Source organism: Homo sapiens, chromosome X (assembly GCF_000001405.40).
Source record: "Homo sapiens chromosome X, GRCh38.p14 Primary Assembly".
NCBI lineage: Eukaryota > Metazoa > Chordata > Mammalia > Primates > Hominidae > Homo > Homo sapiens.
Genome location: NC_000023.11, coordinates 101,635,098 through 101,660,075, shown reverse-complemented (window position 1 = coordinate 101,660,075; position 24,978 = coordinate 101,635,098). Strand labels below are relative to the sequence as shown.

At 40.1% G+C, this 24,978-nt stretch overlaps 1 protein-coding gene across 37 annotated transcripts; it reads left to right on the top strand.

Annotated features, from left to right (window-relative positions):
• Window positions 226–4,795, top strand: ARMCX2 (armadillo repeat containing X-linked 2). 37 transcript variants are annotated; one of them, NM_001282231.2, is made up of 6 exons: window positions 226–318; window positions 575–645; window positions 928–1,000; window positions 1,551–1,615; window positions 1,934–2,003; window positions 2,361–4,795. In NM_001282231.2, exon 6 carries the CDS (start codon window positions 2,488–2,490, stop codon window positions 4,384–4,386), a length of 1,899 nt encoding a protein of 632 aa, NP_001269160.1. In that variant the 5' UTR covers window positions 226–318; window positions 575–645; window positions 928–1,000; window positions 1,551–1,615; window positions 1,934–2,003; window positions 2,361–2,487; the 3' UTR covers window positions 4,387–4,795. The 37 variants fall into 37 exon arrangements, with proteins under 37 accessions (NP_001269160.1, XP_047298645.1, XP_047298639.1 ...); XM_047442689.1 differs by having other exon boundaries at window positions 1,507–1,584; XM_047442683.1 differs by having other exon boundaries at window positions 1,507–1,615.

Genomic DNA, 24,978 nt, shown 5'->3' with positions numbered 1-24,978 from the left:
AGCAGGGAGAAGGGGCTACTTTAGGCCTCCAGGACTACAAAGACAAAAAAATGAGTGACAGGACCTGATGTGGTGGGGTGAGATGGGAATGGAAGTAAAGGAGGGGGCTCGTACTCTTGGTGGGAGTGGAAATTGGGGACCCAAGCTTACTGGCGATGCAGCCCTCACGTGACCAGGAGCTGACGTGGGCAAAGGTACTTAAAGCCCTGACCGTCGTTCTCCGTCCTCCTCTGGGTACCAACTCTATTGCGCAGCTCGCTGCCGTGCGTTTAACCCAGGCGAGGAGGAGGAGGAGAAAATTCCCCCAGATTCGGGCAGGTGGGTGTGAGGGTGGGCACAGTCTGGGACCCCTGAATAGGGGTAATCTAGGGATGCGGGAGTCGGAGGCCGCGGGTGCCTCGGTCTCCCCCACTCCTGGCCGGCTTTCCAGACCTGAGGTGCTCAAACGCGGCTCATTTTGGTGGGCGGTGGGGAAAGGGGGAGGGGGAAACGAAAAGACTTTTGATAGACTTTACGAAGAATCCGCTTACTTCCTTTCCAGCCAGTGTTTTTTGGTTTTGTTTATAATATTCAGGCCCGCACCCCACATTCCGTCCTGTTTTGAGAGGAGGAGGGAAGAGAAATAAACGTGGCAGCGCATAGAAGGCCAGCAGGGAGGTTGGGAAAGGGTAACCAGGAGGCGGGGGTGGGGCATGCAATTTGGTAACAATCTGGGCGGCACACTCCCACCCTGACTTTCCCCACCACCGCCCCGGCACCCTCCCATCCCCCAGCCGACCCTCTGTGATTTGGGAGTGCTGGGAAATGGGTGTACCAGCTGCTGTTGGAGAGGTGGCGGGTTTGGCGCTGTCTGGGCTTCACGGGAGGTGGGGGGGAGGGGGCGGACCCTGAGAGAATCTGGTATTAAACCGCCTTGTTAACTCGCAGACTGCTTTCCAGACACCTCCGGCCCACACAGCCGTTCACCCCCCGTCTTTTCAGTCCTGGAAAAGGAATTCGGGTATGCAGGCGGGAGAAATGGCGGTTGTTGGGGGGATTTGTGGGAAGTGGGAGGTAGAGCCCATAGCAGAGAAATCGTGGAAAATCTCGACCCTGAACCCGAAAAGGCAGACGTTGAGGCCCCTCTTCTGCAGGCTAACGCTAGGCCTAGGGGCTGGGGAGCGAAAGATGGGTGATCCTGGGAGGGGAACACTGAATTGTTTGGCAGGAGTCCCCCATACCGCGTCCCATCCAGCTTTTGCTGCACCCTCGCCCCGCTCCCCTCCCGCTTCGTTGCAGGAGAAGGGGTGTGGCGGTGTGTCCTGGAGAAATGGCGGACGGGGGCGGGGCAAAGCGGAAGGAGGGATTGAGTGCCTGGGGAGCCTGCGCAGGAGGAGGATTGAGGTGGGAGGGGTGGGGTGAGAAGAGTTGAAGGAATTGAGAGGTAGAATCATTTGACATTCTGATGTGCAAACACGAAAAGGCAGTTACTGAGACCCTTGTCCTGGATGCTGATCCATCCACCAGGCTTTCATTGTCTAACGTCGACAGTCTATATTTCTGCTCTTCAGTCTGTCCTTAGGATGAAGCTCTAACTGAACTGAAGTAAGGAGAAACAGCCTTGAATCTTTGGAGGGTCAGTGCTGGGGTTGGAATTGTCTGGGGCCCCCTGGTGTGGGTGTGGCAGAGACAAGAGTAGAGTATGGGACCAGAGGCTCCTCCTGCATCTTCTCTCTTTTAATTTCAAAGACACCCTTGCCCCAGGCCCTTTCTTTTTGGTGCAGAGAAAGGGGCGTGGCATCTGCCTTAGTTAATATTTGGGGGAGGAGAGGCTGAAGAGGAAAAGAGGATCCCTGAGGGGGGAAAACCTTTGACCCACAGGGGCCCAAATCAGGAAAAGAACCAGAATTCGTCCACCAATGGCTCAAAAACGCCCTTTCTGATCTGTCCTCAGGTCTGTCTTCCTTTTGGGCTCTGTGCAACTGCAGCTACAGTGGAAAAAAGCAAACTGCTCTTGATCCCAGGTTGGTATGTGCATGAGCACCATGTAGGGGCCTTGGGGGTAGGGGGTGGGGCATCATAGCAGAATCTGAGATCTCTACTGTTTTTCCAGCTCTCTACCAGCTTTACCCATGTCTGTACTGCCTCTCGTCCTTCCATTTAGATGCTGGAAGTTGTAGGCATTGGCAGAGCAGGCTAAGGTTGAAGATGTAGAAAACGTTAAACTAGGTCTGTGAATCAGCAAACACAGGCCTTGACACCTGTGTCTGGGTGCTAGCCCGCCAACGAAGCATTGTGTCCCTAAACTCTTCTCTAAGTAGAACTGGTTAGACACGAAGTGAGCCAGAGCCCTAAGCCTCATTTTTATCCTTTACCCCTAGGCCCTGCCTAAGCCTCAGCAGAACTTGTAAGCCTAAACTGAAGAGCCTCACCCGGACGAGCAGGCATCCCTTAACCTTAAGCAATCCAGTTCCACGCCCTGGATCAGTGAATAACCCCAGCTGCACCATGAGCCGCGTTCGGGATGCTGGCTGTGTAGCGGCGGGGATAGTGATAGGGGCTGGTGCCTGGTACTGTGTCTACAAATACACCAGGGGGAGAGACCAGACCAAGAAGAGAATGGCCAAGCCCAAAAACCGGGCTGTGGCTGGGACTGGAGCCAGGGCTAGAGCTGGGCTAAGAGCCGGATTCACAATCGACCTTGGGTCAGGATTCAGTCCCCCAACCCCAGTCCGTGCTGAAGCAGAGGACAGGGCCCAGGATGAAGCCTCTGCTCTGGACACAGTTGGAGCTGAGGCAGTGGCCCCAGCTGCATCCAGCGCTGAGGCTCAGAGTGGGGCAGGCAGTCAGGCCCAAGAGGCAGATGGAGCCGGGGTTGGGCCTAAGGCCGAATCAGTAGTTGGGGCTGCAATGGCTTCTGCAATAGCACCACCTCCCGGGGTGACAGAGGCCCTTGGGGCTGCAGAAGCCCCTGCAATGGCAGGGGCTCCCAAAGTGGCAGAAGCTCCCAGAGAAGCGGAGACTTCCAGGGCAGCGGTGCCTCCTGGGACAGTGGTGCCTACCGAAGCGGCAGCACCCACTGAGGTGACCGAGGGTCCTGGGGTAGCAGCACCTACCAAGGTAGCTGAAGCTCCCGGGGTGGCATCGCCTACCGAGGCAGCTGAGGCTCCTGTGCCGGCAACGCCTACTGGGGCTGCAGCACCTACTGGGGCTGCAGAGTCTCCTGGAACTTCTGGTTCCCCTAGAACAGCGGTGGTTCCTGGAACATCAGCTGCCAAGAAAGCAACCCCTGGGGCTCACACTGGGGCTATACCGAAAGCCACATCAGCGACTGGAGCGGTACCCAAAGGTGGAGGCAAGGGTGTAACCAGGTCCCGGAATGGGGGCAAGGGCAAGGGCAAGAAAAGCAAAGTTGAAGTAGACGAACTGGGGATGGGCTTCCGTCCTGGAGATGGGGCTGCAGCAGCTGCTGCAGCCTCTGCTAATGGCGGACAGGCTTTCCTGGCAGAGGTCCCTGATTCTGAGGAAGGGGAGTCCGGGTGGACTGACACAGAGTCAGATTCAGACTCTGAGCCCGAGACCCAGCGCAGAGGGAGGGGAAGAAGACCCGTTGCCATGCAGAAGCGCCCCTTTCCTTATGAAATTGATGAGATTCTGGGTGTCCGCGATCTCAGGAAGGTCCTTGCCTTGCTTCAGAAATCTGATGATCCTTTCATCCAACAGGTAGCTTTGCTCACTCTGAGCAACAATGCCAATTATTCATGCAATCAAGAGACAATCCGCAAATTGGGAGGCCTCCCAATTATTGCAAACATGATCAACAAAACTGATCCACACATTAAGGAAAAAGCCTTAATGGCCATGAATAACCTGAGTGAGAATTATGAAAATCAGGGCCGGCTTCAGGTGTACATGAATAAAGTGATGGATGATATCATGGCCTCTAACCTGAACTCAGCAGTTCAAGTAGTTGGACTAAAATTTCTAACAAACATGACTATTACTAATGACTACCAACACCTGCTTGTCAATTCCATTGCAAACTTTTTCCGTTTGCTATCTCAGGGAGGTGGAAAAATCAAGGTTGAGATTTTGAAAATCCTTTCGAATTTTGCTGAAAATCCAGATATGTTGAAGAAACTTCTCAGTACCCAAGTGCCAGCATCATTTAGTTCCCTCTATAATTCTTACGTGGAATCAGAAATCCTTATTAATGCCCTTACTCTATTTGAGATTATCTATGACAATCTCAGAGCAGAAGTGTTTAACTATAGAGAATTCAATAAAGGTTCCCTTTTTTACTTATGCACTACATCTGGAGTGTGTGTTAAGAAAATTAGAGCCTTAGCAAATCACCATGACCTCTTAGTGAAAGTGAAAGTTATAAAACTAGTGAACAAATTCTGATTGGTTATGTACCGTCAAAAGACTTGAAGAAATTTCATGATTTTGCAGTGTGGAAGCGTTGAAAATTGAAAGTTACTGCTTTTCCACTTGCTCATATAGTAAAGGGATCCTTTCAGCTGCCAGTGTTGAATAATGTATCATCCAGAGTGATGTTATCTGTGACAGTCACCAGCTTTAAGCTGAACCATTTTATGAATACCAAATAAATAGACCTCTTGTACTGAAAACATATTTGTGACTTTAATCGTGCTGCTTGGATAGAAATATTTTTACTGGTTCTTCTGAATTGACAGTAAACCTGTCCATTATGAATGGCCTACTGTTCTATTATTTGTTTTGACTTGAATTTATCCACCAAAGACTTCATTTGTGTATCATCAATAAAGTTGTATGTTTCAACTGACAAAAAGTCGTTCTAATGCTTGAATTTAAAACCCAGATGGAGAGATAAGGTACATAAATACAAAAGTATATATACAAAGATCTATGAAAAATAATAATAATAAATAAATACAAAAGGATTACTAACAGTACCTGGGCATATGCTCTTTGTCAAATATACACTATCTGTTTAAATGAAGCAGAGGTTGCTGAGAAAGCTTCAAGGAGGAAGGGCGCATTTAAGCTGAACCCTGAAGGACAACATAGAAGGGCATTCCAGGAGGGGGAAATGCTTTGGAGAAAGGCATGCAAGTGAGAAATCTGTGCCTGTGATAGGAAGGTAGCCAATTTGCTTGGAATGGAAGCCATGGGAAGAGGAATGATGAGAGATAAATGTGAAAATTCAGAGTGAGGAAAGTTTGAGGAAGATCCTGAACCCCAAGCCAAAATATTGAAATAATATCTTGTCATATTATGCAAATTGCTGAACATTTTTGACTAAAGGAAAAATAATCTGGTGGCAATATTAAAGATGGATTGGAGCTATGTTGGAGACTGGACATTTGTTAGAAAGTTATAATAAGCCAAGCAAGAGATGATGAGGGGTGAAGTGGGGTGGTGACTAAGGGAACTGTTAGTGTATGATGATAATAAGAGACAAAACAAAACAAGAAGGACGAAGATCTGCTGCCTGACGCTTGTCTGTGGATCAACAAAGCTGGAGGATTGTATAACCTCATGCAGGTCCTGACAGGGAAGAGCCCTATTTGGGGGGCAACTGTGGAGACGGCACAATGACAAAGTGAGTCACCATTTGGGATGAGAAAAAAGCAGTGTGGCAGAAAGAATGACTCTTGGCACAGAGCAGTGGTTGGCTTCCTAGGGTTAGAGGTTTAGGTCTGCCATCTTTTAGAAGAGGGGCAGTGGTGAGGCCTTGATGGGAGTCCCCATCCCCACTCCCAAGTTCACTTATGAACAGGTATGCTTTCCTCCCTGGCCCACTGAAGCAATTAGAAAGTGGGAGGGTCCGAGAGATTTTTCCAAACCCAGCCTGCTTTCCTGACACCCTTTATGGTTAACAACAGTATATTGTATACTTAAAATTTTCAGAAAGAGTAGATGTTAAGTGTTCTAACCACAAAAGATAACTATATGGGGGCAAATGCATATGTTAATTAGCTTGTTTTAGCCATTCCACAATGTATACATATATCAAAATATCATGTTTACCCCTAAATATATACAATTCTTATTCGTCTATTAAAAATACATTTTTTAAAAACTGATATACTTCTATATTGGCATGAAAAGACATTAACTACGTGTAAGGGCCTGTCGCATCAGTCAAAAAGTCCACACAATTAAAACTGGGTGAAAATTCCTTCATATGTTTATTATATACATCCCTGCGTATTTTTTTCATAAAATTGGAATCATATTGTATGATAATGGTTCTCAATGTGTAGTCCATGGACTACTGCAGGTCCCTGAAACAGTAAGGTCAAAACTATTTTCAAAACAATAGTAACATGTTATTTGCTGTTTTCACCGAGTTGACATTTGCACTGATGGTGCAAAAGCATTGGTGGGTAAAACTGCTGGTGCCTTAGCATGGATTAAGGCAGTGTCCCCATACTATACTAGTAGTGATTGCATTCTTTAGAACCACACGCTCTAATTTTTTTAAATCCAAATTTATTTAAAAATGTATTTAATATAGTCCTTATTTATAAAAATTATATATGATAAAATCTCAATGATTGAGTGCAAGTCTTTTTAATATTCCGTGTGATGAAATAGGAAGTACGCACAAAGCATTTCTGCCACATAGCTTAGGACAATGGTTGTCTCTAAGGTAAATATTTGCATAATCATTTTAGTTGTGCACTGAATTAGCTGCTTTTTTCATGGAACATTAGTTTTACTTGAAGAATGACTGGCAGACAAACTATGGTTTTTCAGACTTCGGTATTTAGCAGAGATTTTCTTGAAAATGAATGAAGTGAGACTTCAAGAAAAACAACTGACAGGATTTGTCACCAGCAATAAAATTTGAACTTTTATGCAAAATTAGAAATTTGTAAAACTTGTATCCACAAATTCAAGCTTGACAGCTTCTCTTGAAGATTTTTCTGAAGAGATCACTGGTGATAATAATGGAGGTGATGGCCTTTTTTCTTTTTCTCCTAGGAGAAAATTGATAGAAGACCCTAGGGCCTAATGTTCTTACTCAGTTTTACTGTAATCATTGTAACCCATATGACATCGAATCTATGGCTATTTAATAAATAATACAATTGCTGTGGTAACAACATGACCCTGAGTGAGGTTAGACCCAAGAATTTTTGAACCATTACTAAGGATAACCTGAAAATATGTCAGTCCTGGAAAAGTATTTCTGGGGTAAGATAGAGGTAGTATTTGAGTTCGTATATGGAAGATGGATGCATCAGAACCTCCTGGCTTGATCCTCACTATTCAGGTAGTCTAACCAGCTTTATCTGCTCTGATTAACAGTGGAAACTTCCATAATCTTCAGGTGAAACCTATTCCCATACAGAGATGTGTGGTCTGGCCTAACGAATAAGCTACAAATCACACAATAGGGAAATGCTTTATTTCCTAAGGTCTGAATTTTTGTGCCTTAAATCATATCACATGTGAAAGTACGAGCGTAGTTCAGGTGTGGCTAAATCCTAAAAGAGTAGCTCTTTGAAAGATTTAACTTCGTAAAATAATAACAATAGGTACCAGGAATTGAGCATCAGCTATATAGTATTCTATTATTCCTGAAATGTGACTGTTGAAACATTCCTTAGGTATTCTGTACTATAGTATTTACCTTTTATATTGTGTGTCCAGGGCCTATATGAAGGGGTACAGTTCTCACAACTGTTTGCACTGAATAGTCCTGCTTTCCTTGCTTCAATTTGTTAGTCTGGGTAAACAGTCAGGTCAAGAAACATTCATGTTCTCTCTTTTTAAGAATGTGGCCCAATAAATGCAAGGACTGAGGATACAAGGCTGTCATTTTAGTGGCAGAGCACAATGATAAATTGATACAAACTCCTACTCTTGGAGTTCCTGGAGCTGCATTTGTTTCCACCCTTTATCAGGCCAGGTTATTGAATTTTTCCCTTGTAAGATCTATCACAATATATTTCCTTAAATTATCTTTTTGTGCTTAAGGAAAAGGCCTCATACTAAGAGTAAGATGAGAGATGGGGCAGTAAGCAATAGAGTCTCAAGAAATCATGGGATATTTGGGTTGAGGTGGGCAAAATGCAAATGAGACTTCCTTCCCAATCTGGGGTTGAAAACAGTCTACAATTAATTGAGAGCTTTCCCTGTGACAAAAGTTCTATGTGACAAGGTAATTGCTCCTATAGAACATTTCACGGGGAAGAGGAATTGAGTGGGATCAGGTATTTGTATCTAGGGACACTGAACAACTTCCAGTGAAAACAATGAGTAGGCTTGAATATGGAATTTAATGTGAAAGCTAAAACAACAAGGAATCCTACTGCAAGAATCCTTTCCAGTTAAGACTGTCAGAGACCTCTTGAAGAATGAGTTTAGGAATTGGCCTTTTCTATTACTTAACTGTAATATTAGTTGAATTCACCAACTTACCAGGTTTCCTTAGTGAAACTGGAAACACTGGTAACCAGGATAGGTAATCTGGCAAATACTGAGCCTCTCTGGGATTTTTGAAAATATTTCCCACTATGCTTCGCTTATATAAAAAAAAAAACAATTTGTCTCATATGCCCCCACTGAAATTTGTATTTTAAAATACAAGGTTGATATTTTAAAATATGAGGTTGATAATTCAATATTAAAACCAGAGAATTAGATTTTGAGTGTGCCTGACTAGGGGACATAGTTTAGATCAGTCCACATTAATTGCAGTTAGAGTTCTCACCTATTGTTAATATATGGATAATATATTGATTAGCTCTAGACTTAAGTTAGATATGAATGGTAACATTTCAAGAACAACCACTAAAATTATAGAAATAGAGTGTATAATATCTAGAGCAATAAAGGAAAAAATGCACTTTGAGAAAATATTTTTAATCCAAAAGGAGGTGAGAAATGAGAAAAGTGAAGCCTCAAAAAAGGAAGACAAATAGAAAGCACATAGTTCAAATGTATTAGTAACCACAATAAGTGAAAATGGCTAAATTTACTTGTTAAATATATATAACTGGATTTTGAAAACCATCTACATGCTAAATAATAAGCATGCAGAAATTTTGAAAGCAAAAAGATAGGAAAAGTTATACCATGTAAGCATTAACCAAAAGGAGGCTGGCATAGCCAAATAAATATGAGACTAAATAGATTTTAAAGGAAAAACATTGTTAAAGAATGGGCGAATGATTAAACACACTGTGTTACATCCATAACATGGAATACCATTTGGAAATAAAAATGAATGAACTATTGATACATACAACAATCTAGATTAATCTCAAGGGCATTATACTGAGTGAGAAAACAAATCTCAAAAAAGTCACATACTGTATGATTCCATTTTTATAACATTCTTTTTGCTTTGTTATTGATACATAATAATTGTAGTATTGGTGGGGTATGTATGATGCTTTGATATGTGCCTACAAGGTGTAATGATCAAGTCAGAATATTCAGGATATCCACCACCTTAACCATTTGTCATTTCTTTGCGTTGGGACCATTTCAAATCTTCTAGCTATTTTGAATTATTGTTAACTATAGTCACCCTGCTGTGCTATCGAACTCAATAACTTATTTCTTCTATCTAACTGTATGTTTGTACTCATTAACCAACCTCTCTTCATCCCCTGCTACCCGCCTCGCCCCATTCCCAGCCTCAGGTAACTATCATTCTACTGTCTACCTCCATTAGATGAACTTTTTTTGGCTCCCTCATGTGAGTGAGAACATGCAATTGCCTTTTTTGTGCCTGGCTTATTTCACTTAACATAATGACCTCCAGTTCTATCCATGTTGCTGCAAATGACAGGATTTCATACTTTTTATGGCTGAATAGTATTACACTGTGTATATGTAACATATTTTCTTTATCCATTCATCCATTGATGGACACTTAGATTGCTTCTAAATCTTGGTTATTGTGCATAGTGCTGCAATAAACATGGGGGTGCAAGTATCCCATTGATATACTGATTTTCTTTTCTTTGGATAACTATCCAGTGGTGGGATTGCTAGATTGGATGATAGTTCCAGTTTTGCTGTTTTTGACAACCCCCTGTACTCTTTTCTGTAATGGCTGTACAAATTTATATTCCCACTAACAGTGTATAAGTGTCCCCTTTTCTCCACATCCTTGCCAGCATGTTATTTTTTGTCTTTTTGATAGTAGCCATCCTAAATGGAGTGAGTTGATATCTCATTCTGGTTTTGATTTGCATTTATTTGATAATTACTGATGTAGAGCATTTTTTCATACACCTGTTGGCCATTTGTATGTCTTCTTTAGGGAAATGTCTGTTGACATCCTTTGCCCACTTGAATGGAATTATTTGGGGTTTTGCTCTTGAGTTTAGTTCCTTGTATAACAGTCTTAAAATGAAAAAATTACAGAAATAGAAAACAGATTCATGGTTTCCAGGTGTTAGGGGTGGTGGGGTGGATACTGTGTATCACTAGAAAGGGGTACCACAAAGGATATCTTTGTGGGGATAGAATAGTTCTGTATCTTGATTGTGGTGGTGTAATACAATGGTATAGAACTATATGACGCATTTTCTATCAGTATCAAGTTCCTCATTTTAATATTGTACTACAGTCATATAAGATGTAGCCATTGGGGGAAACTGTGAAGAAAGGTACAGAAGACCTCTCTGTATTATCCTTGCAATTACAGGTAAATATATAATTATTTCACAATAAAGGTTTCTAAATGATGATAAAAAGTTAAATTCACCAAAAAATTATAAATTTGTGAGTATTTAATAAAATAACCCCAAAATATATAAAGAGGCTGGGCACAGTGGCTCAGCCTGTAATCTCAGCACTTTGGGAGGCCGAGGCGGGTGGATCGCTTCAAGTCACAGGAATTCAAGAACAGGCTGGCCAACATGATGAAACCCCGCCTCTACTAAAAATACAAAAAATTAGCCAGGCATGGTGATGCATGCCTGTAATCTCAGCTACTCAGGAGGCTGAGGCAAAAGAATCGCTTGAACCAGTGAGGTGGAGGTAGCAGTCAGCCGAGATGGCGCCATTGCACTCTAGCCTGGATGACAGAGCGAGATTCCATCTCAAAACATATATATGTATATATAAAGAAAAATGTTATGGAACTATAAAAAGAAATGAACAAATCAACAATCGCACGGAAGAATACAACATCTCTAAAGTATTTAAAGAATAAGGAGAACAAAAAGTATTCTATTAATATATCTTGATAGTAAAGATATAGAATATTGAGCAATGTGGTCAACAATCTGATTTAATGGATGTACACAAAATCCTGAACCAAATAATAGGAGAATACACTTTCTTCTCAAGCATAGAGGGACTGTTTATAATAATGATCATGAATTTGGCCATAAAACATATCTCAACAAATTTCCAAGAATCAGTGTCATAATAATCACTTTATTTGACCAAAATGCAATTAGGATAGAAATACATAACAAGGTAATATGTTTTAAAAACCATGTATTTGAAATTTTTTTTATTATACTTTAAGTTTTAGGATACATGTGCACAATGTGCAGGTTAGTTACATATGTATACATGTGCCATGTTGGTGTGTTGCACCCATTAACTCGTCATTTACATTAGGTATATCTCCCAATGCTATCCCTCCCCACTCCCCCAACCCTACAACAGGCCCCGGTGTGTGATGTTCCCCTTCCTGTGTCCAAGTGTTCTCATTCTTCAATTCCCACCTATGAGTGAGAACATGCGGTGTTTGGTTTTTTGTCCTTGCGATAGTTTGCTGAGAATGATGATTTCCAATTTCATCCATGTCCCTACAAAGGACATGAACTCATCATTTTTTATGGCTGCATAGTATTCCATGGTGTATATGTGCCACATTTTCTTAATCCAGTCTATCATTGTTGGACATTTGGGTTGGTTCCAAGTCTTTGCTATTGTGAATAGTGCCTCAATAAACATACGTGTGCATGTGTCTTTATAGCAGCATGATTTATAATCCTTTGGGTATATACCCAGTAATGGGATGGCTGGGTCAAATGGTATTTCTAGTTCTAGATCCCTGAGGAATCACCACACTGACTTCCACAATGGTTGAACTAGTTTACAGTCCCACCAACAGTGTAAAAGTGTTCCTATTTCTCCACATCCTCTCCAGCACCTGTTGTTTCCTGACTTTTTAATGATCACCATTCTAACTGGTGTGAGATGGTATTTCATTGTGGTCTTGATTTGCATTTCTCTGATGACCAGTGATGATGAGCATTTTTTCATGTGTCTGTTGGCTGCATAAATGTCTTCTTTTGAGAAGTGTCTGTTCATATCCTTCACCCACTTGTTGATGGGGTTGTTTGTTTTTTTCTTGTAAATTTCTTTGAGTTCTTTGTAGATTCTGGATATTAGCCCTCTGTCAGATGAGTAGATTGCAAAAATGTTCTCCCATTCTGTAGGTTGCCTGTTCACTCTTATAGTAGTTTCTTTTGCTGTGCAGAAGCTCTTTAGTTTAATTGGATCCCATTTGTCAATTTTGGCTTTTGTTGCCATTGCTTTTGGTGTTTTAGACATGAAGCCCTTGCCCATGCCTACGTCCTAAATGGTATTGCCTAGGTTTTCTTCTAGGGTTTTTATGGTTTTAGGTCTAACATTTAAGTCTTTAATCCATCTTGAATTAATTTTTGTATAAGGTGTAAGGAAGGGATCCAGTTTCAGCTTTCTACATATGGCTAGCCAGTTTTCCCAGCACCATTTATTAAATAGGGAATCCTTTCCCCATTTCTTGTTTTTGTCAGGTTTGTCAAAGATCAGATAGTTGTAGATATGTGGCATTATTTCTGAAGGCTCTGTTCTGTTCCATTGATCTATATCTCTGTTTTGGTACCAGTACCATGCTGTTTTGGTTACTGTAGCCTTGTAGTATAGTTTGAAGTCAGGTAGTGTGATGCCTCCAGCTTCGTTCTTTTGGCTTAGGATTGACTTGGCAATGTGGGCTCTTTTTTGGTTCCATATGAACTTTAAAGTAGTTTTTTCCAATTCTATGAAGAAAGTCATTGGTAGCTTGATGGGGATGGCATTGAATCTGTAAATTACCTTGGGCAGTATGGCCATTTTCACAATATTGATTCTTCCTACCCAGGAGCATGGAATGTTCTTCCATTTGTTTGTATCCTCTTTTATTTCATTGAGCAGTGGTTTGTAGTTCTCCTTGAAGAGGTCCTTCACATCCCTTGTAAGTTGGATTCCTAGGTATTTTATTCTCTTTGAAGCAATTGTAAGTGGGAGTTCACTCATGATTTGGCTCTCTGTTTGTCTGTTATTGGTGTATAAGAATGCTTGTGATTTTTGCACATTGATTTTGTATCCTGAGATTTTGCTGAAGTTGCTTATCAGCTTAAGGAGATTTTGGGCTGAGACGATGGGGTTTTCTAGGTATACAATCATGTCATCTGCGAACAGGGACAATTTGACTTCCTCTTTTCCTAATTGAATACCCTTTATTTCCTTCTCCTGCCTGATTGCCCTGGCCAGAACTTCCAACACTATGTTGAATAGGAGAGGTGAGAGAGGGCATCCCTGTCTTGTGCCAGTTTTCAAAGGGAATGCTTCCAGTTTTTGCCCACTCAGTATGATATTGGCTGCGGGTTTGTCATAGATAGCTCTTATTAGTTTGAGATATGTCCCATCAATACCTAATTTACTGAGAGTTTTTAGCATGAAGGGTTGTTGAATTTTGTCAAAGGCCTTTTCTGCAGCTATTGAGATAATCATGTGGTTTTTGTCTTTGGTTCTGTTTATATGCTGGATTACGTTTATTGATTTGCATATGTTGAAGCAGCCTTGCATCCCAGGGATGAAGCCCACTTGATCATGGTGGATAAGCTTTTTGATGTGTTGCTGGATTCGGTTTGCCAGTTTTATTGAGGATTTTTGCATCAATGTTCATCAGGGATATTGGTCTGAAATGCTCTTTTTTTGTTGTGTCTCTGCCAGGCTTTGGTATCAGGATAATGCAGGCCTCATAAAATGAGTTAGGGAGAATTGCCTCTTTTTCTATTGATTGGAATAGTTTCAGAAGGAATGGTACCAGCTCCTCCTTGTTGACATTTTTATTTTATTTATTTATTTATTATTTTGAGATGGGTTCTCACTCTGTCGCTCGGGCTGGAGTGCAGTGGCACGATCATGGCTCACTGCAACCTCCGCCTCCCGGGCTCAATGGATCATACCGCCTGAGCCTCGCAAGTAGCTGGGACTACAGGTGCATGCCACATTCCATGGCTAATTTTTGTATTTTTGGTAGAGACAGGTTTCTCTATGTTGCCCAGGCTGGTCTCCAACTCCTAACCTCATGTGATCCTCCTGCCTGTCTGTATTATCCTTGCAATTACAGGTAAATATATAATTATTTCACAATAAAAGTTTTTAAGCGATGATAAAAAGTTATATTCGCCAAAAAATTATAAATTTGTGAGTATTTAATAAAATAACCTCAAAATATATAAAGAGGCTGAGCACAGTGGCTCAGCCTGTAATGCCAGCACTTTGGGAGGCCAAGGCGGGTGGCCTCCCAAAGTGCTGGGATTACGGGTGTGAGCCACCACCTACGATCATGTTTGGAAATTAAAAAAAAAAAAACTTTTTTGTAGTTTATGGGTTAAAAAAGGAAGCATAATAGAAATTTTAAAACACTGAAAACTGAATAATAACAAAAACACTAAATATCAACATTTGTAGGATTCAGTAAAAACAGTATTGCTTTTTTTTTGCTTTCTTTTTCTTTATTTCTTCTAAAAGAAAAAGAATGGGATACATGTGCAGAACGTGCAGGCTTGTTACATAGGTACATGTGTGCCACCGTGGTTTGCTGCACCTATTGACCCGTCCTCTACGATCCCTCCCCTCACCTCCCACCATCGAACAGCCCCTGGTGTATGTTGTTTCCCCGTGTCCCTGTGTTCTCAATAAAAACATTATTTCAAAGGAAATTTATGGTCTTAAGTTTTTAATGTTATATGAAATGTTTACAACAGGGAAATCTATAGAGACAGAAAGTAAAGTAATAGTTGAAAGGAGTGGCAGAGGCAAGTTGAAGAGTGACAACTCATAGGTGCAGGGTTTCTGTTTGGAGTGATGAAAATATTCTACAATTCATTGTGGTGATGGTTGCACAACTCTGCAAGCATACAACAAAAGATTGAATTTTACACTTTAAATAGGTGAATTGTTTAGAATGTGAATTATATCTCATAAAGCTGTTTTAAAAATCTTATGTTAGACTGGAAAAAAAAGGTAAGCATTAATGAGCTAAGCATCCAAATCAAAAGTTAGAAATAGACTGATAGAATAAATGTAAGATAATAAAATGAAAAAGACAAGAGCAGAAATAGATGAAATAGAAAAAATACATTTGATAGAATTTTAAAAATTGAAAAATTGGTCCTCAAAAGATATAATTTAAAAAGCAAGCCTTTGATGAGACCAATCAAGAAAAAAGGTGAAAATAAACAATATTAGCAGTAAACAAGAGGACACAATAATGAATATGCAGTGATTTTAACAGATAAGAGAATACCATAATTAACTTTATGACAATGAATTCGAAAATGTGGATGAAATGGATACATTATTTGAAAAATAAGACTTGCCAAAATTGGCTCAGAAAGAAACAGAGAATCCAAAGGGTCCTATAACCACGGAAAACAATTAAATCAGTAGTTTAAAAGTTCCCTGCCCCTCTCCTCAGAAAAATAGACCCAGATGTAACAGATAAAGTCCAATCTTATACAAGCTCTTCTATAGCCTAGAAATAAGTAATGTTGTTCAATGCATTTTATGAGCCAAATATCTTTTATATTAAAACTGACAAGATCAGTATAAAAAATGAAATTTCAAACAAGTCTCAAAATATAAATGTGAAAATCTTAAACAAAATACCAGCAAGTAGAATCCAGCAATGTATTTTAAAAAGTCATGATCAGAATGGTAACGCAGAGCTGGCTTAACATTTTAAAAAATCTATCAAAGCTTAATTGATACATTCTAACACTATATGGAAATATAAAGACCCAACAAGAGCTACATCAATTTGGAAACAAAGGATAGAGTGGAGACTTACCCTACTGGATAGTAAGATACACTGTATGTGTCAGTCAGGGTAACAATATGCTATACTGAAGTAACAAATGAACCTCAAAACCTCAGTGAAGTAAACAAAGGTTTATTTCCTATTTACGTAAAATTTAATGATTAGGCAGCTCTCCAGTCTTCCATGCAGTTACTCAGGAACCTAAGGCTTCTTCCATCTTGTGGTTCCTCCATCTAAACACACAGCCTTTTACACCAGTTTTAAATAACCTTGACCCAGAAATAATAAACATTACTTTGCTTGTAGTGTGTAGTCCAGATAGTCATATGACCTCAATCTAACTGCAAGGCAAGCTAGGAAAGTAAGTACAAAAATCATTTGGTGAGTACCAGCTCTCCCTGCCGTATCATAGTAACAAAAGTAATATGGAAGAGATAAATACATAAATGGAAACGTTTAGAGACAGACTTAAGTAGATACAGAAAAAATAGGCAGCACAAATCAATGGAGAAAGGATGGACGGTATAATACATGTTATTGGAAAGACTAGTTCACTATTTGAAGAAAAATAAAGCTGGAACCCTCCTTAGCACCATGTATAAATCTAGACTACAGAGAATAAAATAAATTTGAAAGCTAAAATTATGAAGTTAATAGATGATGATATAGGAAAAAATCTTTGTGGCCTAGAATTAGATAACAATTTCTTAAACAAAACCTCAGAAGTAGATGCCATAAGACACAAAAGATTAATAGATTTGATTACATAAAAAATAAGAATTTCTATTCAATGAGAGACACCATAAACAAAGTTAATAGATGACAGAGAAAAGTTATTTACAATACCTTTAACAAAGGATTAATAGCTAGCATATACAAAGTACTCCTGCAAATCCAAAAGAAAAAGACAGGAATACACTGCCTTAAAGTGACAAAAGAGGACGGACGGATGAGGTGGCTCCTGCCTGTAATGCCAGTGCTTTGGGAGGCCAAGGCAGAAGGATAGCTTGAGGCCAGGAGTTGAAGACCAGCTTAGGCAACATGGCAAGATCTTGTTTCTACAAAAAAAAAAAAAAAAAAAAAAAAACCTATTTTAAAAAATTAGCTGAATGTGATGGTGCATGCCTCTGGTTCCAGCTACTTGGAGCAGCTAGGCAGAAGAATCGCTTGAGCCCAGGAGGTCAAGACTGCAGTGAGCCATGTTTGTGCCACTGCACTCCAGCCTGGGTGACAGAGTGAGACCCTATCTCAAAAAGTAAAATAAAGTAAAATAAAATAAACTGACAAAACATGACAAATATACCCAGAGGAGATGAAAACCAAAATGCTCAGAAATAAATGAAGAGATGTTCAAACTCATTATTAACCAGTTAATTGCTAATTAAAATTCAGTTATAAATCCGTTTATACCTATTTGGCTGGCAAAAATTTTAAAGCTGGGACCTGCCGATTGTTAGTGAGGGTACAAAGATAGAGGAATTCTAATGCACACAGCTGATTAGAGTTTAGACTGGAGCTGCTATTCCAAAGAGCAATCTGACATACATAAATGAATTATACATATGCCCTATGACTCAACAATTCCATTCATTTTATATATATTCCAGAACACTTTTCATGTAGGTCCATAAGGGGACATGCATGAGGACGTTCATCACAATGTATGAGGTAACAGAAAGTTGGAAGCAGTATAGATTTTATTTCCTGGAAAATGAGGAAGTAAATTGGAGTGGATGAATACCATGGTACATTATGCAACAGTGTGAAACTACAGACCATGTACACAGAGTGACATAGATGGATCTTTAAAAAAATATTACTGAGTGGGGAAAAAAGCCAGAATAAGATCCACAGCACCATACTACTATCTAAATCCATGCATACAAAGTAATGTAAGTTTTAAAATAACTCAAACAAACATACACATCAAATAAATTAGAAGGTTGCCTTTGGGGAGGAGATGGAAGTAAAGAATAGAGAAGAAAGGAAACAAATAAAGTAGTAAATGAATTAATAAAGGAAAGAAAATGGGTTTTGATTAGACCAATGCAGATGGTATGCTACGAAGGGAAGAATATGGTTAGTATAATCCTCATCACCTAAGGTCCAAAAAAAAAGGAAGGACAGAAATCCATTAATGTTGTAGTAGTATAAAAGTCTAAACTGCTGTAATGAAAAACTCAAAAATTGTATGACTTAAAAAATATATTTTCATTACCAAAAGAGTCTGAGGTTAATGTTCCAGGTCAGCAGAGAGGCTCTGCTACACGTGGCCATTCAGGGTCCCAGGCTCATTCCATCTTGTAGCTCCATCCTTCTCTAGGTACTCAAAGTTATCTCCATTCAGCGGGTAGATAGGAAAAGAGAGAGCACAAGTCAAGCATGAGGAAGTTTCATGAGGCAAAATCTGGAACACATCACTCCTGCCACAATCCATTGGCCAGAACTCAGTCTCATGGTTGCACCCAATCATAGGGGACGTTGACCACTATAGCTAGGCCACTATTGACCAATCTAGCTGGATTCCAAGGAGTGGGCAGAAAACATGGATATTGGAGAGCACTAACAGCCTCTACCACAGTTTGCAAGAGCTTTGTTGAGGGAATTATAAAATGTTTTTAAGAGATATTAATCATCCAAAACGCTGATCTCAGTGACTGCTTTTACTAGGCAATGGTTTACAAATGTTTTCAACCTCATTGGTACAGTTCTCAGGGCTAGTTTGATGCCCAAGTTTCTCTCTCCACCCTCGATGTCCACGATCAGTAATGTCTTCCATTTCCCCTGCAACTGTGTCCATCCCCCAAAACGTGAGGGCGGAGAGGCAGGCAGGGATTAGAATTAGAAAATGGACAGCATGTCAGTAACAGAGGCAGGGAATGAACATGAGATTTGTACTTCCTCATATTTTCACTTCCTCATGTACTATTACCGCCTTAAAAAATAAGCATCAGTGGCCAGGCGCGGTGGCTCATGCCTGTAGTCTCAACACTTTGGGAGGCCAAGGCGGGCAGATCACCTGAAGTCAGGAGTTCAAGACCAGCCTGGCTAGCATGGTGAAACTCCACCTCTACTAAAAATATAAAAATTAGCTGGGCGGGGTGGCACACGCCTGTAGTCCCAGCTACTCAGGAGGCTGAGGCAGGAGAATCGCTTGAACCCTGGAGGCGGAGGTTGCCGTAAGCCTAGATCGTGCCAATTCACTCCAGCCTAGGTGACAGAGCGAGAGACTCCATCAAAAAAAAAAAAGCGTCAGTATGCAATCATTTTTACAATCAGAAAAAAAATGAAGTTATGGTCACTGAAAAATTAATGAGGAATTAATCTGGGAAAAATCTATCATAAAAAATATTTCTGGCCAGGTGCGGTAACTCACACCTGTAATCCCAGCACTTTGGAAGGCCAAGGCAGGTGGATCACTTGAGGCCAGGAGTTCGAGAGCAGCCTGGCCCACATGGCGAAACCCTGTCTCTAGTAAATATACAAAAATTATCCGGGGATAGCAGTGCACACCTGTAATCCCAGCTACTCATTAGGCTGAGGCAGGAGAATCGCTTGAACCTAGGAGGTGGAGTTTGCAGTGAGCCAAAATGGCACCACTGTACTCTAGCCTGGGTAAGAGTGAGGGAGACTCAGTCTAAAAAAAAAAAAAAAAAAAAAAAAAAAAAAAAAAAAAGTCCAATTTAAGAGGGAGGAAGTGCCTTAGCACAATTACGTTTTATGAATGTATTGCTTTTCTGCACAAGAAGAGTTTATAAACATGCTAAGGTATTTGATAAGGTGATTGGTAAGGTTTTTGATAAGGTATTTAGAAGGATTAGACTGAATCCTTCTAAACAATGAAATTTAACTCTGAGCAAAGGGAAGAGCTGTGAGATTGATGCTGCAAGGTATGAGGAATGCAGAGATGGTCCTATCCTTTCTGCCCAGTCAAGATAGGGGGAAGGTGCTGCCCCCATCCCCTCTCATATTTCAGAACGTCTCATTTCCTGCATATGGGCACCTGACTCTTGCTCACTCCAAAAATATACCTGGACAGATGACCAAGGTGGTGACCTGAGTAAATGCTTTTGGATCCTTCCCTCCTCCCTCTCCTAAATTTCCACAGGGGTAACCCAGCCCCAGCAGAGAAGGGAGCACTGTTCCTGCCACTGGAAACCAGAACTCATGCCTTCTAGACCCTTGCAGCTGAGGGTGTCCATGAGGCCTGGAGAAGTGATTGCTGGGGGAGTGTCCCTAGCCATCTCCCTGCTCTCTGCCCTTATTCACAGTGTCTGAGTGGAAGCCTCCCTGGACCCTATCTGCTGCCTCCCACCTATCATGAGCAGTGCAGTCTGGTGGGCCTTTCATGCCCAAAATCTGCATCTCCAGGGAATCTAGGGAACCTAGCTTTGCTGCCTTTCAGTCACCTTCCTCCCTAGTGGCCCTTCAGCCAGGCTAAGGACAGTGTCCAAGAAACTCTCACCTACTGACCATACTGATTAACCTAGACCAGGTGTTCTCAACTGGATAAGTCTATAAACTCCTGGAAATTGTATACAAGGTTGTGTATTGGGAGTGAGGGGAAGGTGCATATAAGTTTTCCAGGTGAGCGGCTATAAGCTATAATTATTAACATGTTTTTAATGGGAAGTATAACCCTAAATATATTAAAAACCACTGGCCCAGAAGGTCTATGTTTATATTTGTTCTAAATAGGATGATTTTCATTTTTTAATAGTAAAACTAATATAGTCATTGTAAAAATGTCAAACAACGCAGAAATGTATTGTATTCATTCATTCACTTAATAAGTCTCTATTGAGCACCTATGCAAGGCATTGAGAATACAATGGTAGGAAAAACAGACTAGGTCTTTGTATTCATGAAGCTCACAGATTAGTGGGGTATATACATTAATCAAATAATCACATGAGTGTATGGATAATTATAATTCCACATAAATACAAAGAAGGAATGGAACACAGGTATGTATATGAGTATATTGCTGCAGATCAAGACATACTCTGAGGGGCTAAAAAGGGAACAAAGAAAACTTCCCTAAGGAAGTAAAATTTGAGAGGAAATAAGGAAAAGTATAATTACTAGGCAAAGAGGATAATATAAATGTCTGGTAATCATACATCCTGCAGAATGCCATAGCTAACACATATGTGTAATTGGAATAAATCACAGTCCACAAACCCAAGTGTATAAAACATCCAGCTTTTATTTTCTATAGCAATACTCATAATTTATATTTTGTCTTCTCATCCCATTGTTGTGCTGAAATGGAATCAATTTAGGATCTGCTGCATTTTCCGTGGTGTGTCTAAGATCAAAGATGCTTACAAAGCACCTTAGAGTTGTTGGAGGAGGTCCACATGATTCTAGTAATACTGCTCTACATAATTCACCATTTTCATTCCTTCCTCAGGACCTCTTCAAATATTGTAGCTCTCTATTTTGCTTGTGTCGACCTTGAATGATCAAGACTTTCTGTGTTGCTTCCCTGCCTTTGCTATGCTGAGATACAGAAAACTTCGTTAGACTCTATACTATATGTCTGGAAGCAATGTAAAGCAGCAATGCTTCAGGTATCTCTTAACAGGTATGACATGTCACCTACACAATTTAATCCAACAAAACTGTCCAGCGAACTTCCAGTCAACAGCAGACTGAAGTGAGTTGGAAAGCTTCCCCCTTCCCACTCGAAACTCACAGATGTGATAGAATGCTAAAAACAGTAAATAGTCAAGTTCATCATCATGAAATGGAAATCTCCAAGAAACAAAGAAGGAGCTAGCAAGGAGCGGGAGATAAAGACAGACGGCTATCGGCTTTAAGATCTAGAGACCAGGATTTAATCCCACATAGGGACAGAAAACAATGCCTCTAGGCAGTGGAAGATGGGAAGCTGGTACTGAGCTCCAATCTAAATCTAGGCCCCACAGAAACACAACCAGTACATGAAATGATAACTAGAAAACTTTATCCCACAGCAAAGATACATGAGAAGAAAGCTCATCTTTTATGTGAGGTCATGGGTGGATACAGAGCCCCCTGGGAGCAATCAAAATCCAGGCCAGCTCCATTCATAGGCCGAATTCATAATCTGTACATGTGAGAGAATTCAAGGGACATACACTAATATAAAAATTAATCTGGAACTGGTGAAACTTTTATAGCCTTAGCAGAGACAAAGGCAAGGAGAAAATTAGGACATTCAAATATAGATCTCAATAAATCACCCAGAATGCAGCACACAAAGATAAAACAGTACAAAATATGAGAAGCTAGAAGACATGGCAGAAAAAGGGAAAGTTTCAAAATATACCTAGAACGAAGTCCATAAAGAGAGTCTAGAGAGAATGAGGAAGGGACAATATTTGAAGAGATAGTGGCGTGAATTTTTCAACAACTGATGCTAGACATGAATCCTTAAGCAGCATAAATAGAAGTAAAGCCATAGCTTGATACATCTTAGGGAAGAGCACCAACTATACCTAACACTATATTTTCATGTGTTTAGGCTTTGGGAAATCGAAAAGCCCTTCCATAAACCTTTCCTGAAACAAGGAATGGGAAAATGGAAAAGTAAGAAATATTGTGGGAAACAGAAGAACATAAGTTTATAAAACATACTATTCTGTCATATATGCACATGTGTAAATATTTACAATCTCTAGTGAAATGGTAAATCTTTTTTTAAGAAAAAGTAAGAAACTGTCTTCAAGGAAAGGAGGATATAGCACTCTCTTTCCAGGATTTCAGTCAGAGGGTACGTGACAATGTTTAACAGTTTTCTGTATCTGTCATCCCATTCCTTCGTAAATCATTGCACATTTTCTTCCTTCTGACTATTCAGAGGTTTCTCTTGGGGACATATACAAAATGATCCCATTGAGAAATGGTATCAGCTGTTAGTCAAGCCACAATCTCTACCCAGCTTAATCGTCCTGCTTTCTCCTGACACTAAATTCTGAGGATAGTTATTTTAAAGCCACAGCTAAGGTAATCAACATACAATAACAGTAGCTGGAGCAATGTGCTAATGTGAAATATCAGAGACGGATGGGCGTGGTGGCTCACATCTGTAAACTCAGCACTTTGGGAGGCCAAGGTGGGTGGATCACCTGAGGTCAGGAGTTCGAGACCAGCCTGGCCAACATGGTGAAACCCCCATCTCTACTAAAAATACAAAAATTAGCTGGGCGTAGTGGCGGGCCCCTGTAATCCCAGCTACTTGGGAAGCTGAGGCAGGAGAATCGGTTGAACCTAGGAGGCGGAGGTTGCAGTGAGCTGAGATCACGCCATTGCACTCCAGCCTGGGCAACAAGAGAGAAACTTCATCTCAAAAAATAAAAAGAAAGAAAAGAAAAAAGAAACATCAGAGACTTGGAAGGGATGGGGAAGACAGATTGAGAGAGTAAGTAAATTATGCATTACAGTCTAAAGATACTTTCTTAAAATCTTTAATCCATCACTTAGGTAGGCCTCTCTAGGTATGTCTAAGAAACAGTATGTGAAGCAAAATGTTGATACAGTGAAGAAATACAGAATCACAAAATTGATTTCAATCAATCCCAGTTTTGCCTATCCCCCAAAAGACCTTCCTTGGAGTTTTCCATTCTCCAAATTTCTCCAGTCCCTCGTAGTATTTCCATAGGTGACAATTCATATCCATTGTCTGTGCATTTCAAAATTTATATTATTTCTGACTGAAATAGAACTATAGAAAGAGTCAAATATCATATTTAGCAAAAAGCAATAACAACACTGGAAGAAATAAAATTAAAACAGGAAAAATAATTTCTGGAATTGAGAAACATGATTTTCAAATTTAAAAACTCACACTAAATGAAAGAGATAATGTCACTGTTGAAAATTGAATAAGCAGCCAAGGTGATCAGGTGAAAATTTAAACAATAAATGAAAATGATGAAGGAAAAGATAAATCTTGGAGGACGGATCCAAAAGGCCCAATACATTAATGAATTTCTAGGACGAGGAAGAGAAACAGATGGAAAAGTGATAGGTAAAGAAATTGTGAAGAAAAATTTCTCTAATCTAAAGAAAATCTTGAGGTTGAACAATAAAAAGATACCCCAAGTTCCAGACACCATTAGTTTTTAAAAGTTCAAATGCCTAGAAGTATCATTATAAAATTCATAAATTCCAATCACAGAGAATATTATAAAAAAGAAGTTACATAAAAAGGGAAAATATCCGACAGGTAAATTATTTTTACTTGCCATCCTGGAGGTAAGAAAACAAGGAAATAATCTCCACACACTACTAAAAGGAAAGAGTAGTAACTCCAAAACTGTGTGCCCAACCTAGGTAATCATTACAAGTCAAGGTGAAGTAGGATATATTCAAGCATGCAAAGATTCAGAGAGAATACAATCCATGTCTAAATTATCACAGGTAGCATTTATTGAGCACTTAGTACTTGTCAGGTGCTGCTCTAAGCACTTTACATATCTTTACATATCAGCTCAGCAACCTTATGAGATAATCCAATTCTTAACTTCATTTTCACATAAAGAAATTTATATAGACAGTGATTTAAAACTCACCCAAGAAAATACAGCTTTTAAATAAATAGCTTCTAACTCAGCCACTGTCATTCTGAGATCACAAATTTAACCACTATGTATTGAATGCTACTTGGACTTTGTATAAATGTTTCTAAAGGTTTCCTATTTTTGGAGTTGGGGGCAGTGGGAAAATAAGGTGCCTCAGTGGGTGGTATAATTATCTCATTTGGATTCAACAGTAGAGAAACATTGTTTGATTTTGAGTGCTAGCATTCATGGAATGAAGTGTGTAGAAAAGCATAGTAAATTTTCCAAATTCACAATATAATGAATGTGTAAGAATAGAAGTTTGAATAAACTAAAAAAAATAAATTAGAGAAAGGAAATGGGGGCTCGACAAAATAAAATTAATAGTAAAAATAATAGGAA